The 16,031-nt window shown below is 50.6% G+C and overlaps 1 protein-coding gene and 1 long non-coding RNA gene across 6 annotated transcripts in view; both read right to left on the reverse strand.

The window, feature by feature from the left end:
• TCERG1L (transcription elongation regulator 1 like) overlaps positions 1 to 16,031 on the reverse strand; it is a 219,331-nt gene that overhangs the window by 109,851 nt on the left and 93,449 nt on the right. The gene's annotated exons all lie outside the window — the stretch shown is intronic.
• Positions 312 to 6,575, reverse strand: LOC105378563 (uncharacterized). Of its 4 annotated transcripts, none has more exons than XR_946483.1 (5): positions 6,382 to 6,575; positions 5,077 to 6,291; positions 4,188 to 4,797; positions 2,278 to 3,881; positions 312 to 2,013 (listed from the first exon to the last, which is right to left on the reverse strand). It is a non-coding gene; the product is annotated as an uncharacterized LOC105378563 (long non-coding RNA). The 4 variants fall into 4 exon arrangements; XR_946484.1 differs by having other exon boundaries at positions 5,077 to 5,331; positions 5,922 to 6,575; XR_946482.1 differs by having other exon boundaries at positions 2,278 to 2,450; positions 3,775 to 3,881; positions 5,077 to 6,575.

Here is a 16,031-nt window from a genome sequence, read left to right on the forward strand (position 1 = left end):
GGTATGCGCATGTCTGCACCGTGGGGTACCACAAAAGCTGGTAAGGCCGGAACTTTTTCGCCGGGCGCGGTGGTTCATGCCTGTAATCCCAACACTTTGGGAGGCCGAGGAGGGCGGATCACCTGAGGTCAGGAGTCCGAGACCAGTCTGCGCAACATGGTGAAACCCCATTACCACTAAAAATACAAAAATGAGCCAGGCGTGGTGGCGAGTGCCTGTAATCCCAGATACAGGGAGACTGAGGCAGGAGAATCCCTTGAACCTGGGAGGCGGAGGTTGCAGTAAGACAAGATCATGCCACTGCACTCCAGCCTGGGTGACAGAGCAAGACTCCATCTCCAAAAAAAAATAAAAATAAAAAACAGATTTTTTCAAGTTCACTACATTTTGGTCTTTAAGGTACACTGCTAAGTAAAACAGTAACGTAGCGGAATTCAAGTCAATAACATCCTCTCCACATTTTCAGGAATCCATAGGCTTGCATGGAATACACTGGAAATATTCTGATTATCTGATTATCAATAGAAGTTTCCAATATGAGAAGAATAGGGTTGGGAGGAGCTTGATTCTATAAGCTTCTAAATTGTTTCCATTTTTAAAATAAAATATGTTCATTTTTTACAGTTTATTTAGAAAAAAGAAACACTTAAATAATTAAGTCTGCCGTCTGTGGAAACGTACACCTCAGTTTTGATTGCTTCATGATTCATATTAACCAGGTGCCATCCTAAGTGGAAGTTTGAGTGAAGAGGTTTATTCTGGTTCACAGATTGTGGGGACAGAAGTCAAAGGTCACGCCGACACCGATGTGCTTGATTTATCACACAGCTGCCAGGAATTCCACTTACAAATTCAAGAACCATAGACAACAGCCCTCAAAGCTTTTCAATGACAGCAGTGACGCCTTCTCAGGAGTAGTGACAGTGTTCATGGATATGCGTATACCTGTCTTCAGCCCTCCGAGCTGCGCTCTCTGGGTTACAGAGCACAGCTGGGTGGTAGATGACCTCACTTAAGACTTCCAGTACGTCCCACTGCACTCTCGCATGGGTGACAGAGTGAGACTCCGTCTCAAAAAAAAAAAGACTTCCAGTATGTCACAGTGGTGACCTTCATGGTCTCGTCACTTAAGATCAGCTCACTGTTTAATGAGGCTGATGACAAAAAAGCACCCTAAGACCTCTTTGACCAGACAGCAAACTGCCTCTGGTAGAACATCCAAGCTGGCCCCAATCACAGGTGCTCACGTCTCTATTTTAAGGGAATGCATGCACAGGACTTCTCAGCCTCATGGGAAAACGCCCCCGTCATGTCAACCGTTCACATTCGAAGATGGTGCGTCTCTCCCATGAGGATGAATGTGGGTCACCGCAAACGATTCAGGGACACATCTGCTTCTGGTTTGTGGCCCTGCCATACCGAGTTTCAGAGAGGTTGGAATCCAGAGGCCAGTAGGGGCCGGGAGGTGGGGAAGGCACTCTCCTAACTGCTGCTTCTGCTCACATCCCGCCGGCGAGCGCTAGCCCTGGGGGCAGCCTGGGAAATGTGATGGCAGCCTCCCTAGCCACTTTCCACTTCAGACCTCCTCCAAGTGGGGGGTGGGCATCTTAAGGGGACAGCTGGCTGTCTCCACCGCAACCCAGCTGGGAGGGGAGAGGCGTGATGTCACATTAGGTCACACTAGGGCATGAATACGTGAGTCCCCACAAAACCCCAAAGTAGGAAGCTAAGCCCCAATAGGACGATATGAAGAGGTGAAACCTTTAGGAGATGTGAAGTGATGAGAGCAGAGCCCTCATGGATGGAATGAGCGACCTCATGGAAGGCCCGAAGGGAACCAGCTAGGCCCTCTTAGCCCTTGCTCCCTCCTGCCATGGGAGGACACAGCAAGGAGGCGCCATCTTGGAAGCCTGGTGGCTTAGCACTGGGCCTGGGCCTAGCTAGGGTCTTGGCAGCTCTCATCAGGCACCAGATCTGCTGATGCCTTGGTCCTGGACTTTCCATTCTCCAGACCTGTAAGAAAAGCATTTCTCATCTCTATAAATTGTCTAGTCTAAGAGTATAGAGGAGCGGGAACAGACTGAGACAGGTCACAAACCAGCAAGTGGGCTGGCCCGATGGCCCCACCACAAGCAGGCTCAGGAAACTGGCACCTGCCCCCCCACCCTGCCCCCGCATCTACATGGCCTCCATATGCACAGCTTGAAAATGGGGATGAGGATGAGTCCATCCACCCCAAATGCCAGAAAGCACCTGTCAAAGCCATTTCCCATGTACAGTGGAGAAACTGTCCGTGATGGTGGGTCCTGGCTTCCCAGCAGCGGTGGCCACAGTCACTGTGTGGGCTCCAGTGGGGCACGGAGCCAGCTCAGATCCAAAGGTGTGTGTCCTCAAATCAAAGGACATCTGTCCAGTGTCCTTCCACTAGAGGCTAAAATAAACCAATGAGCCTGCGGGTAAGGGAAGAATGTTTCTTGGGGCAGAAGACTCCCTTCAGGGAGAGGCCCCGATGGCAGTGGACTTGTCCCTCAGCCCCTTCACAGCCTGGCCCCAGGCAGAACAGGTTGGCTGGAGAGAAGAGCCCACCTCTCGGTTTTATGAACAGGCAGAGGAAGGGATCCTTGATGGAGGTTCACACCATCTCTGACCACAAGCCCAGTGGCCTTTCTGCTTGAAGTCCAGGGTCTTGACCATGGGGTCAGGGCTCACGTGCTCTGCAGCTGGATCTGGTCTAAGGCCCCTGTCCCTGGACCTGTCATGCCCTCAACCCCTGCCACCCGGCTCTTTCTGGGGCTGCACTGAGAATCCAGCCTCTCCCAGACCAAGCGGCCCATGGCATCAACTCAATGGCAGCCTCTCCCAAAATCCAATTTCATTACACCTGGCTTTACTGCCGTTGTGACTGACAAGTGGTCCCCTTAAAAAGGGAAAAAGAAGGTTAATGCTCGCAATTCATCCTTTTATCCCAACAGCTCTCCTTTATGGAACGCCACATAATTAACCAGTGACGTGCACGCCTCATTGTGAGGCACAAATCAGATGCATCCCAACTCTCTGCTGTGTCACTTGCTTCAGAAATGTGAAGCTATGAAACCTAAACAGGTTTTCAATTTCTCCTAATGTAAAAAAAAAAAAAAACAGCAATAAAATCAAAAAGTGAGAGAAAAAGGGAGAAAAAGTTAGACTCTGGAAATAGCATCCTTCATGAAACTACATTAGATGTGAATTATTCCCACAATGATTTCTCTGTGGAATTGCCTCATTCCAGCCTGTATCTCACATTAGGGAATTTTGTAACAGGCTGAACTTTTATTTAAAAATGCTTCTCTTAAGTAGCTCCAGTGCAGCCCTGGGGACGTGGAGGTAAACGCCGCCTTCCATGGCCTTCCCTTGGCAGGGCACATCCTGGCCTGGGGTCATGGGGCCACCCTGGCATCTCTGACTGCCACTTCCTGGAAAGGCAGCATGTCCGCAGCCACCTTGCTGAGGTCACCTGGTCTTGGAGGCTCAGCACGGCGGACCTCATCCTTCCTAAGAGGCTGCAAAGGTTGTTTTATCCAAAAGATGTTTTATGCAAAGGGTGCAGGAGACGGGAGGCTGTGGGAGCCCCTGGGATGGACCCAGAGTTGGGAAGCTACGACAGAGGGCCGAGGTGGTGACTGCCCTCCACCTGGCTCCTGTGCCAGGTCTCTGTGGGGTCTGTGGGCAGACAGCTTGCCATATGAGCAGGGGTCCACGGGCAGATGGTTTGCCATATGACCACAGAGGTCTTACTATAGCTCTGTAGCTCCTTTGTCTGGAAGACTCTGAAAGGGCAGGAAAATGGATGCTGCAGACACGAAGCCCTCAGGATTCCCAGGCGGGAGAACTGGCTGGTGGCTCTGGAATAAGAAGTACAGGCGGATTTGAAGGATGTCATGGACAACGAATGAACTGCCAATCGGGTGTACGCCAAGGTCCGCAAAGGCAAATCCTCATGGAAACACCATCTTGGGTCACCAGAAGGGCTGGTCCTGCGGACCGGCTGGCAGCCTGGGAGTGGACTCAGGGCACTGGGCAGGGAGGTCAGCCCGGGACACACCCTCCAAGGGGGTCCTGGAGTGAAGACCGGTGTGGGAGCTCTGCCCAGGCCTCCCAGGCCCTGGGGCCCCAGACAGCCAAGGAAGGGAAGAATCCACCTGCCTCACCTGAGCCTTCCTGGAGCAGCCCTCAAAGGAAGGGGCACGAGGAGAGGCAGAATAGAGGGCGTTTTATCCATGGAACAAGCGCCCCTCGTGGGCGGCTGCCCGCCAGGCCTTGCACAGGCCCTGGGTGCAAAGTCCGTGCAATCAAGGACCCCGTGGCTGAGCTCAGTGGGCAGCATGTGAAGGAGGGGCAGAGGTCACGTGTTCCCAAAGGGACGACTGTGATGAGAACAAGAGCATCGTGAGGGGTGCAGGGTCCTCCTGGAGCCCAGAAGTAGCAGCTGAGCTCAGCCAGGGTGAAATAGTGGCTGGGGCAGCCCCGACAGTGATTTCCCAGGGATGTGGGGTGTAGGACAGGGAGGCCTGGTCCTCCTTGAAGAGGACAAGATCATGAGGAGAGGGTGGGGTGCGTCCAGGGAAAAGCCAGATGCTCCTCTGGCCAAGCGAGTGGTGCGGGAGGACGTGGAAGGATTTGGTACAGTCACTTCACTCCCAGAGGGGCCAGGGAAGCAAATGGTCTTTGAAACTCTGTTTGTTCCTAATTCTCAAATAGGCCTTTCTTGGCGTCCCCGTGGCTGGTCCCCTCCATCAGTTCCCCTCTTCAGAGCTGAGCCTGGAATCAGAAAGTGCTTTGTCCTTTTCAGCGAGCGTCGGAGTGGGCGCAACTCTGCTGGCCACTGGCCAAGAAAGCTGCATGGAGATCTTCAGGGAGGTCCCCACCCCAATCCCCTCACTTGCCCCGACCTCTTCCCCTACCCTGATCCCCTCCCCCACCCAATCTCCAGCTCCAGGCACAGCGTGATTCCATATCTCCAAAGGGAGGTTCTGTCCTGGGAGACCCCAGAGGTCACAGGAGCTTTCCAAATGGGCTGAAAGCCAGCATGAGTGTCACCTGGTTTCACGCGCAGGCCTGGTGGACAGGCGTCTTGCTGCCGAGGCTTTGCTGCCCAGGAGGGAGCCTGCAGGGCCGGCACTGCAGTGATGCAGGGCAGAGTTCAAGTTCACTGTTTACAGGTGACACAGCGGCTCCAACATGAAGACAGATGTTCCCTTGAAGTGGCAATGCCGGCTTCTCCCTGCAGCTCTCCCTTGAGTCAGTTGCTACCATTTTGTTCTCCCCTGGCTCCAGTTAGCAGACCAGAAACAGCTACATCAGGTTTAAGAACATTCATGGGGGAAAACCTGAATATGGAGAAAGCTTCCCCCTTGGCCTGGAGGCCTCATACAGATTGGGAGATGTGTCCGCTTCCTGTGAGGACAGCGCGGGCCTCTGCAGCAAGAGGAGGGGTGTGGGGCTGAGGTCCATGCGACCTCAGATGCGCCAGGCCCGGGAACCAGGACCGCCCTCACAGCTCGGGCTTCCCATCAGCCTTGAAATACCGAGCGGGTGGTCCCTGACACCGAGTGGGTCTTAGGAGGACAAGCATCATGGAAAGAAGAAAGAAGGTACCAGGCTCAGCTGGAAATAGGCTGTGTCAAGAGTGAGAGACCCAAGGCTCCAGGCGGCTTCAGGGAGGCAGGCAGGGGAGGCTGTGCTGAGAGGGAGTCAAGGTTCCCCGAACTCCACTTCCACAATGAGCCAACCCACCCGTGCCACCAAGGCACCCTAGGGACCAGCCCAACCACAGAGAGGCCAGCCCTGCCTAGCCCACTATCCCACATGAGGACCCCAAGGACCAGCTCAAAGACCAAGAAAGGACGGGACTAGGTGGAGTCAATATGACCGTCACTAGTCACCTGTGATCTCTTGATGCCTGAGCCAAAGCGGTTCCTCCAGGGGAAAGCTTCCAAATTCAACACCCCTCCTCCATGACGGATGCCCAGGTTACGTCACTTGGAGGAAGCTCCCTCTCATGTGACATGAGGATGCCTATCATCTGTGTCACCCTCTGGCCACAGAGTGCGAAGCCTCAGAGGGGGCCTGTGAGCCTGGCTTTCCTTAACATGGCTGCTCCTCAGCTCCGAGCCCACAGAGCTCGACAGAGATGCATGTGAACGATGGTGAGCTCCGCAGAGACCAGCTGCCGAGAACGCCCGGTTCACAGGCTGCTTCCACGTCCTCAGCATCCCCTTCTCATGTTGTGTCTGAGCAGACAGATTTTCGTAGCTGCAGTTAAATGATAAATCAGAGGTCATGTGCTAATGCTCCACAATCTGTCCCCTGCCCCACCGTTTCTAGGGAGGGGGAAGCCATTACCTTTCTTAGGATGTAGGTTGAGCGCTTCTAACCTGAAAACACATAATCCAAAATGCTCCCAAATCAGAAACTTTCTCCGTGCTGACCCCAGAAGTGGAGAATTTCACATCTCACCTCATGTGGCTCATCTCAGTCAAAACACAGTCAAAACTTGGCCGGGCGCAGTGGCTCACGCCTGTAATCCCAGCACTTTGGGAGACCGAGGCGGACGGATCACGAGGTCAGGAGATCGAGACCATCCTGGCTAACATGGTAAAACCGCGTCTCTACTAAAAATAGAAAAAAATTAGCCAGGCGTGGTGGCAGGCGCCTGTAGTCCCAGCTACTCGGGAGGCCGAGGCAGGAGAATGGCGTGAACCCGGGAGGTGGAGGTTGCAGTGAGCTGAGATTGCACCACTGCACTCCAGCCTGGGTGACAGAGCGAGACTCTGTCTCAAAAAAAAAAAAAAAAATCGTAGTCAAAACTTTGTTTCAGGTACAAAATTAATAAAAATACTCCATAAAATTACTTTCAGGCTATGTGTATAGGGTGCGTAGGGAACATCAGTGAATTCTGTGTTCAGGCTTAGGTCCTAGCTCCAGGATACCTCAGTAAGTATCAGCAAGTGTTCCCAAATCTGAAACACCTGTCGTCCCAAGCATTTCAGATCAGGGAAACCAAAGGTGGAAAGCATTCTTTCTCAGCCTGGCTCTGACAAAGAAGCCGAAGTCTGGAAAATCAAGAGTCATTAAATAGAAACGTGGACCACGTTTACTGATAATGTCTAGTGTAGCAGTAAGGGGAAGTGGATACCTGTATACTGTAATTATGATTTAAAAATAGGAGTTTTATTTTAAAAGCATTAGGGAATCACTGTTAGAACTTTAATGAACAGATATTTTTATATGCACGCAGCATGACTAGTAAAGTAATTCTTTTGCCACAAAGTAAATGTCTTAGATAAATGCACTTATAAATGTAAAATATATATAGCCTTTGCCATTTGTGAGGCCTGCTAACCTTCTCTGAATAACCACTTTAATTCTATAGGATCTGGAAACTGAATGGTCTCATTTGTCCTCCTACCAGTGACAAACACAGTATCATAGTAGGGCAATAATTATTATATTTTATAGTTAAGTAGTTTTTAAAATAAATGATAAAATAAAGCACTTTGTAATTATCTAAATAAATATAGCTATTTAAATAATTTTAAGCTTAAAGAAGACTTTGTAATATTAATTTACAAAGATAATGCTTTTAAAATGTTACTTTTTAATATATCAGAATCTTGATGTGACACCCAAAATAGCAAGGTTACAAATATATTTTACACCTAGAAATAGAGGCTTCACTGATTAGGCTGCATTTTGATGCCGTCGTAATTTCGCTGTGCCAGTCATACCAAAAGAAGCAAGTTTCTCTAGCTTACAAAAATGAATGTTTTTTGCAATACAGAAGGAACAGAAGTGACATAAAGATCACCTGGAGAAGAAGAAAATATTCAACATGAAATCCATTGCAGATTTTCCAGCATTTTGTCATCATCTCTCCCTCTCTTTTGTTATTACCATAACTTCAAGAAAAATAATGGGAGCTGTTGTTGTGCCCATTTTCCAGATGAGGAGACTGACAAAGGGATCCAGCTCTCCCTGAGGTCGCCCAGCCTTGCAGACAGTGTCAGCTCAAGGACCAAGGCCACTGACTCCAGGCCCCTGTGCCCACAGTCCCCCCAACCCTCTGCCCCCAGGGCCATCCTTGGCAGGAACTAAGAACCTGCCCACTTGCCTCACTTTTGTCCCTGCTGGAAGAGAGCCAGCTCTGACCAATCCACTCTCCAAAGACCCTCTGGCAGGGAGACATCCAAATGACCGGCACTCCGTGGGCAATACCAAGGTGAAAATAAAAAGAAAGAATTATCTGGGAAAAATTCCAGGCTTCACCATTCACAAGTGGCACAGCTTTGCCAAGTTGTTTTTACCTCCAGACTGTACAACTAAGAACTCTTAGGCATTGCGGGAACACACTGCATGTCTTGAGCTGTCCCGCAGGCCCGCCCTACTGGATTCAGCCCTCATCTCCGCCCTTCCCTCAGTTTCCTCCCTCCTCTCCTCCTCCTCCTCCTTATTCCTTCTTTGCTAACCACCCCATCAGGCCCACGTTACAAACATATTTTGCTTATTAGTAATAAATTATATCTGCAGTCAATAACTCATTTTCCAAAAATTAATTTGGGAGCAACAGTACACAGTTCCCCATGTAAAATCAGGGAGGCATGGCAAGCCACCGAAACAGCAAGTCATTACTTCATGTCATCACTATTTCATCGTTTTCCTCCAATGAAGATTTACACCTTCCACGAGGCGCTACCATGCACTTCAATGTGTGAATCAAAATCAAACGTCTAAGGACATTGTCCCATCTCCCCTTCTGTCTCACCCACCTGGAGACCTTCTGAACGTTTGTTCTCTGAAGCTGCCTGCAGCCTGTGCATCTGTGCTTTGGGGACAGCAGCAAAGGGGTGTTGGGATGGTATCTGGGTGGTGGGGCACGGTCAGGGCCGTATGGCTCGGCCCTCCCTGCTGGAGGCACCGTGGCTCTGGTCCCACAAGTGCAAGAAATAGGCCAGCCTCTCAAAGGAGGACTGAGGAGGACTGTCCCTGGCCTTCAGGCCCCCAGCAGATGAGGCTAGAACCGGATCAGATGCCTCACATCAGGAAGCATGTGGTGAGCTGCGGCCAGGGCTGGGCCCCTGAGCACGGGGCTCTGACTTTCCCTGCCAGATTTTTCCATGGTGTGGCAAAGGGCTTCCTACTACAACCCCTTTCCCGGTGTTCTGGGCCCATGCTGTGGCCGGAGCTAGATGTGCTAGAACCCCTTCTATTTAGTTACACCACGAGAAGTAATGTCCCAGGATGCAGTGACTTCTCCATCCACATCCTGGGACAAGTGAAAGCAAAGCCCCAGCCAGAGAGCCAGTTTCAGCCAAAGGAGGAAACTTGCCAGAAATGTCATAGGCAGCTCCTTTCATGAAGGCAACCTATTTTATTAACACTTCAACCTTCAAACAACATAAATGCAGCACGAAAATTGCACACATGGAGGAAAGAAGCGGCTGGGCGGTGGACTCGGGCCTGAGAACGAGCCCCACCCCAAGAAGCACCAGAGCACCAGGCCTGCCGGGCCACTTGCCAGCGTCACCTCTAGTGCAGACGGCGGCTGGGAGCATCCATTTCTCTGATGGAAAAAGATGATGTAAGAAATATAAATAGAAAAGTAATCAGATAAACAGAAGTTTCCACAGCATTAGTTCCTATCTAAGATCATTTTTATGCTGTTACTGAGTAGACACATGACCATCCACAGATCTTTCCTTATTTCTTCTCCAGATTAGCAAGCAAGAATTAATGATAAGATTGGGGTGATTCTAAGGTTTTGTGACTCAACTGTGCTATGGGGCCACATTATCCTCATCTCCCACATGTATGAGAGACCACCTCATCTCCCCAGGTGACGGTGTGGGAACCATCCCTGCCCAAAAGTGCAGGCTAAGGTTGTGTCTGCCTCTTCATTCACACGCTGTACCCACTGGCACCATCTCAACTCAGACTCAGACCCAGGGCAAGACAGCAGCTCTCCCACTGCCTTCAGGCCCATGCAGAGTTGATTCTGCAAGGCTGTGACACAAAGGTCTTGAAGGGAGCATCCTTTTTGGTGTCCACATCCATGGCCTGAAGTTAAGGGTATACCAGTGCATGATCAGAAACTCCATTCATCCAGCCCAAATGCATGATGGGAAACTCCATTTATCTAGAACAAATGCATGATGGGAAACTCCATTTATCCAGCCTAAATGCATTATTTGAAACTGTTCATCTATGCTTGGCATCTGTAAGCTCAAAATAATTAGGCCTTACCTAAAGCACCTATAATTAAAAGTGGAATGGTAAATGAAAGAAGTGAGGGTCCAGGTGATTTTACAAATATGTAAAGATAATGCTTTGAAGGGTCTTAGGTACTCTCCTGAAATTAACATCTCTAGTTTGCACATCCACAAGTCTACAGTTCCAAAATTCTCAATTCAACCTGAGACTACCAAATTAGTTCTATTTGTGAGTGGCTAATAAAACAAAGAATTAACTTGTGAATGCTAATAAGCAACCACAGATGCAAATAAAAGCTCATTTTACAGTAAGAGAGGAAAACAGCCAAGGCATGAATAGTTTAAAACAGGACTGTGGATGCAGCTGCCCCATGTGATATGAGGTAGGAAGTGTGACACAGGCATTACATGGGGCTAGCACCGCTGGAGTGCTTCTTACCCAGAGGTTCCCCACAAGTGCTCCTCCCACAGCTGCGGATTGACCTGCACAAGCATATTGAATCTGAAGACTTTAGTCACCCATCAGCTGAAAATGACCCTCTCTGCCCCATCAGGCAGGCAGCCAAGCAAACTGTTCCCTCAGCAACCTCCATCAGAGGCTGTATGGGCAGTGAGGGGGCTTGTGTTGGCCACCCAGGGCTGAGGACTGGCTGCAGCCCCCAGAGGCTATGTGGGGCCTCCCTCCCATGGCTGCCTGGTGACCAGAGGACAAGAGTTCTATCAGCCCTGAGCTCCTGGCACACGGGAAGATGGCACATGCCAAGAAGGGAAAAAGAAAGGCCCAGACTCATCAGAACCCACACCTGCACCCAGGCTCACCCGTGAACGTGGGAGGGCTTGAAACCTGGGACTCACTTCCTGGAAATGTCTATGGAAATTCACACACAGAAAGGTTTGACTGGAATAAGACTTCATGTTATAAAATTTCTCTGCACCAGAACCGGATATTAGGAAACATGATTCTGCTCTTCAAATTCGTAGTAAAATATCATTGAGCAGCTAGGCACGTGGGATCAAGACACCCCACAGCCTCCGTTCAGATTCCAGCTCAGCTGGGCCACTCTGTCTGGCCCGGCTGCGCCTCAGTGTCCCCGTCTATGGAATGGGGACAACCCAAGCTATCTCCAGCACTGCTGTGGAGATGCAGCTACTTAATTATGCAAGCTGCTTCCATCAGCCTCAGGTTCCAGGCAGGCCCTCAGCAGGCACAAGGAGGGCCTCTCCCTGGACCCTGCTCTCCTGTGTTTGCTGAAGGGACTCTTAAGGGCAAGGGCACTGGCACACACAGGCAAGAATCCCCTCAACCTGAGCTTAGGGCCCTGTGCTGGGCCCTGCTTCAGGAACTGGGAGAACACGGGAATAAAACAAGAGCCCTGCCCTAGCCACGGCCCAGCAGGAAACCCTGTGTTTCCCAGGCCCTGAGAACATGCTCACCAGGATCAGACCATCCCACAGTCCCGGCAGTTCCAGTGGCTGTGGAAGTCAGTCAGTTTAACTCAGCAGAGGCCCACTACTTATCCAGGGATACAAACATGCTTTTAATGTTACATACGCACACACACACGCACACACACACGCACAACAGTTACAATGACTAACTGGGCAGTCATTTATGAATTCACAAGCCCTTGAAGAATGTAGAAATGCACAGGCCTCCTGACATCCTCTGCAGGGTCCTAGAGAGCCTGCCCAGGGAGGGGTGGGAGCCTGGGGTGAGGCTCCCTGGGAAGCTTGTCCTAACCTGGCTGCAGAGTCCCCTCCATCTCCACTGCACGCCCTGCCCCCTGTCCAGGGCACAGTCCCCATGGGACCCCCAGGGAGTCTGGATGGGCCACACATGCTCCTGGCTGCTCATCTCTTCCCTTCCACAGGATCTTGTTCCAGCTGGTGGCATCTCAGCCACTCTCACAGCCGTCTCTAATACGTCTTTAACTCTTGATTAGCAAGCCTACCCCACCCCAGAGTTTGGAACCCCTTCCAAGAAAATTAGTCTTTCTATATGCTTTTAAGAAAAGGCTAGTCATCATCATTTACACCTTCTATTTTCACTGAACCATGAGTGTTAAGAGGAAAATAGCACCTTCTCCTGCGTTTCAGCTGCTCCCACAATGCCTGACACCCAGGAAGTGACAGACGCGGTTCAGAGAGGCAGCTTCAGTTCCACTCATACAGGGATTTCCAGCGTTTCCACTTATCTGAAGGCGGAGGGGTGCCGAAGGAAGTGGGTGGTGTCCACGCAGTGGGAACAGGCCCCTGGAAGGTCAGCTCCACAGACGCCCAGCTGGGTGGGTCACACCTACTGACCATGTGCCCACTGAGAAAGACATTTGACAGTGAGAGCCAGCAAACATGTACTGATACACTGATATTGAACTGAATTTACTTATTTAATAAGCATATTAAACACTTATTCCATGCCAAGGACTCCTCTAAGGCCTTTGTGAAGCTCATCTCATTGAATTTTCACCATGGCCGTGTCGGGGGCCCTGTTTCTGCCCTCACTCACAGGCGGAAACAGGGGCACTCAGAGCTAGGCTGGGCGGTTCCCGAGATTGCAGGTGAGTGGGAGGCAGCCCAGGCCAGATCCCACGCTTGTACTTCCTCGCTGTGACGCACTCATACTCTGATACTTTCTACTCAATGCCACTTTATGTGAAAGCAGTGCTGGTCCTTACCTGCCAATGATTTCCCTTTATTTGAAAGCCTCCAGACTATAAGTTATCCAAGGCTCACCCCAAGCCCGACACCCATGTTTCCCATATTGAATCCACGTCGCCCCACAGGGAGCCAGAAACAAGCGGCTCATGAGAGAAGATAGTCCTTAAGTCTGAAGAAGAATTCTAAATGGGGAACTAGCCACTAGGTAAACATATCAACTGCTGAGAGGAAATTACCTTAAAATGTATATTTAAATAGAAATGGAAATTTTCAATCCAATCCAGTTTGATTAAAATGGAATCCACGTAATTGGTAAAAGCCTGAGTCTCGGCAGAGGCTTCCTGTTCTTGGAGGAGATGAATGAATCCAACCCGAGGAAACTCGGAGACCTGATCTGCACCCGGCTGGAGGAGCAGACCCCAGCCTGAGGTCAGAGTTCCCGGGACAAAGGGATTTCGGGAGAGTTAGGCTCTGAGGATGCCTGGTCCAGCCCATGGGAGGGTGTTTGACTACAGCCAGAGAGAGGGGCTGTGGAGAGGGAAGAGGAGGGGAAGTCAGCCCTCTGGAGCTTTAGATAAAATCACTAAGGACAGGGAAGAAAGTTGTTGCGGCCAAGAGTCTACCCTGACGCCTAAGTCCCCTAAGAAGTGTCCACAGAGAAGGACAAACTGACCATGCTGAAGGGAAACAAAACCATTTTCCATGGAAAATTACATAACCAAGAAAAAGAGTGAGCAAAGTAGAAAGCACAGAGCAACCAGCTTGCCACTTGTGCAGAAGCTCGAGTCTGAAGCAGAACTCACCCACGAACGCGCACTGTGGGGCGGCCACAGCTGAGCCATGCTGCCCAGACTCCCCATGACACAGGACCTGACCAGCCACAGGGAAGGGAAGGGCAGGTGAGCAAATGGCCTTGTCCCTGCATCAGCCTGGACATCAGAAGCAGACTGGAAGATAATCGATTAAATAAAAACAGTTTCACATTAGCAAAATCCAGCCAGGTGTCATCAGCTAGTCAGTTTCTGCTCACTCTGCCCTTGTTGGAGATGGAGAAATAGAAAAATCGTCTCACTAGTACAAAGCCCAAAGAGAGGAGGTGGAGAGAGAAGTGGGTCAGGTGTAAGACAATATGGAAGGGTAGAGACTGGGGCAAAGAGGAGCTCCCAGAGCCCATAGGCATCACTTTGGAAGCATCAAGCTGAGAGCCTTGTACCATCTACTGTCGCAGATCCTACAACTGCCTGCCCTTTTCGCTACAGTGAGGCCTTCAGTTTGGACAATATCTTGCTTCTTTTGAGGTTGTTTTAAGAATCTTTGCAGAAAATGGGGATAGACCTGCTTTGGAAACTCTATAGTAGATTTTAACATCTCATCCTTACGTATTACATAGGAGGAAACTGAGTCTCCTCAGAGCCAGGAACAGGACAAGGACAAACTTTTCTGAAACTCAATAACTACCATTTCTTTTTTATTTAAGCTCTAACCAGGGACAGAATTGGAGAGGGGATTAAACATAGCTAAGAAAATAGCCTAAGAATCAGCCCAGGACAGCTGGATTTCACTTTCACTGACTACAGTGGGCAAATAGATATTGGTGGCATTTATAAGAAGATGTGTCTTGTGCTGGCTGCGGGCCAGGCATGGGAGTGGGGTGCACACAGGCATCGGAGCCCCCCAGCTGTCCGCAGAGGGAAGTGCCCCTGTGGCAGCTGGGAGAGGAAGAAGCTATGTCTCAAGAGACCGCGGGGTGGTTCCCAAATCCCACTGAAACCGAGGGTGGCATCTCTACCCAGGGCACAGGACCAGGCTGGCCATGGCTCATCCCTTCTGGCTGCCAAGCTGTCTCACTCCTCCACCGTCCCACACCCACAATGCCCACAGTCTACAGGGTTGATGTCCCTGGCTGGGTGGTGGACGCAGTAGAACAAGGGTGATATGGTTTGGATCTTGTCCCCACCCAAATCTCATGACAGATTGTGATCTCCAGTGTTGGAGGTGGGGCCTGGTGGGAGGTGATGGGATCCTGGGGTGGATTTCCTGCTTGATGCTATTCTCGTGACAGTGAGTGAGTTTTCCTGAGATCTGGTCGTTTAACAGTGTGTGGCCCCTCCCCTATCCTGCTTCTCTCTTTCCTGCTCCAGTCATGTAGGACGCCTGCTCCACCTTCACCTTTTGTCATGATTGTAAGTTTCCTGAGGCCTCTGCAGAACACCAAGCAGATGTGGCCATGCTTTCGGCACAGCCTGCAGAATAGTGAGCCAATTAAACCTCTTTTCTTTATAAATTACCCAGTCTAGGGTATTCCTTTACAGCAATGGAAGAACAGACTCATACAAAGGGGAAGGCAGGACTCAGCAGCAGAGGGCTGGATCCCAGACACAGGCCTGGTCAGCAACAGGGCAGTCCAAGGAAAAGCCTCTCATCCAGCTACCCTGCCTGGCCAACAGCAGTCACTGTGTGCCCAGAAACCAGGACGGTGGCCAGGCAAGGCCCAGGGAACAATGGGAAGCTCCACTCCTTCCAGGCTGAGTCTTGCTTCAATCTGACCCTACACAGTAGCTGCCCTTTTTTTTTTTTTTTTTTTTTTTTTTTTTTTGAGACGGAGTCTCACTCTGTCACCCAAGCTGGAGTGCAGTGGCACAATCTCGGCTCACTGCAAGCTCTGCCTCCCAGGTTCACACCATTCTCCTGCCTCAGCTTCCTGAGTAGCTAGGACTACATGCGCCCGCCACCACGCCCGGCTAATTTTTTTTTGTATTTTTAGTACAGACGAGGTTTCACCATGTTAGCCAGGATGGTCTCGATCTCCTGACCTCGTGATCTGCCCGTCTTGGCCTCCCAAAGTGCTGGGATTACCGGCGTGAGCCAACGCACCCGGCTGTAGCTGGCTTTTAAGTTAAAGGATGCACAGTGCCTGCCACGAGAGCAGGAGCCACAGCCAGTCCCGGTGGCCCCAGCTGCCTGGTTGGACACAGCCCATTTTTTCCCACCTGTGTCCCTTCCTGTTCTCATTACTGCGTTTCCTGGTGCGTGGACTGCCACTGTTTTAATAGTGCATGGCTTCTGTTCATATTTCTACATAGAGTACCGTGAGTGCTGTGTAAGAAAGCACCAATACATCTAACCGAT

This window comes from Homo sapiens, chromosome 10 (assembly GCF_000001405.40).
Source record: "Homo sapiens chromosome 10, GRCh38.p14 Primary Assembly".
Lineage (NCBI taxonomy): Eukaryota > Metazoa > Chordata > Mammalia > Primates > Hominidae > Homo > Homo sapiens.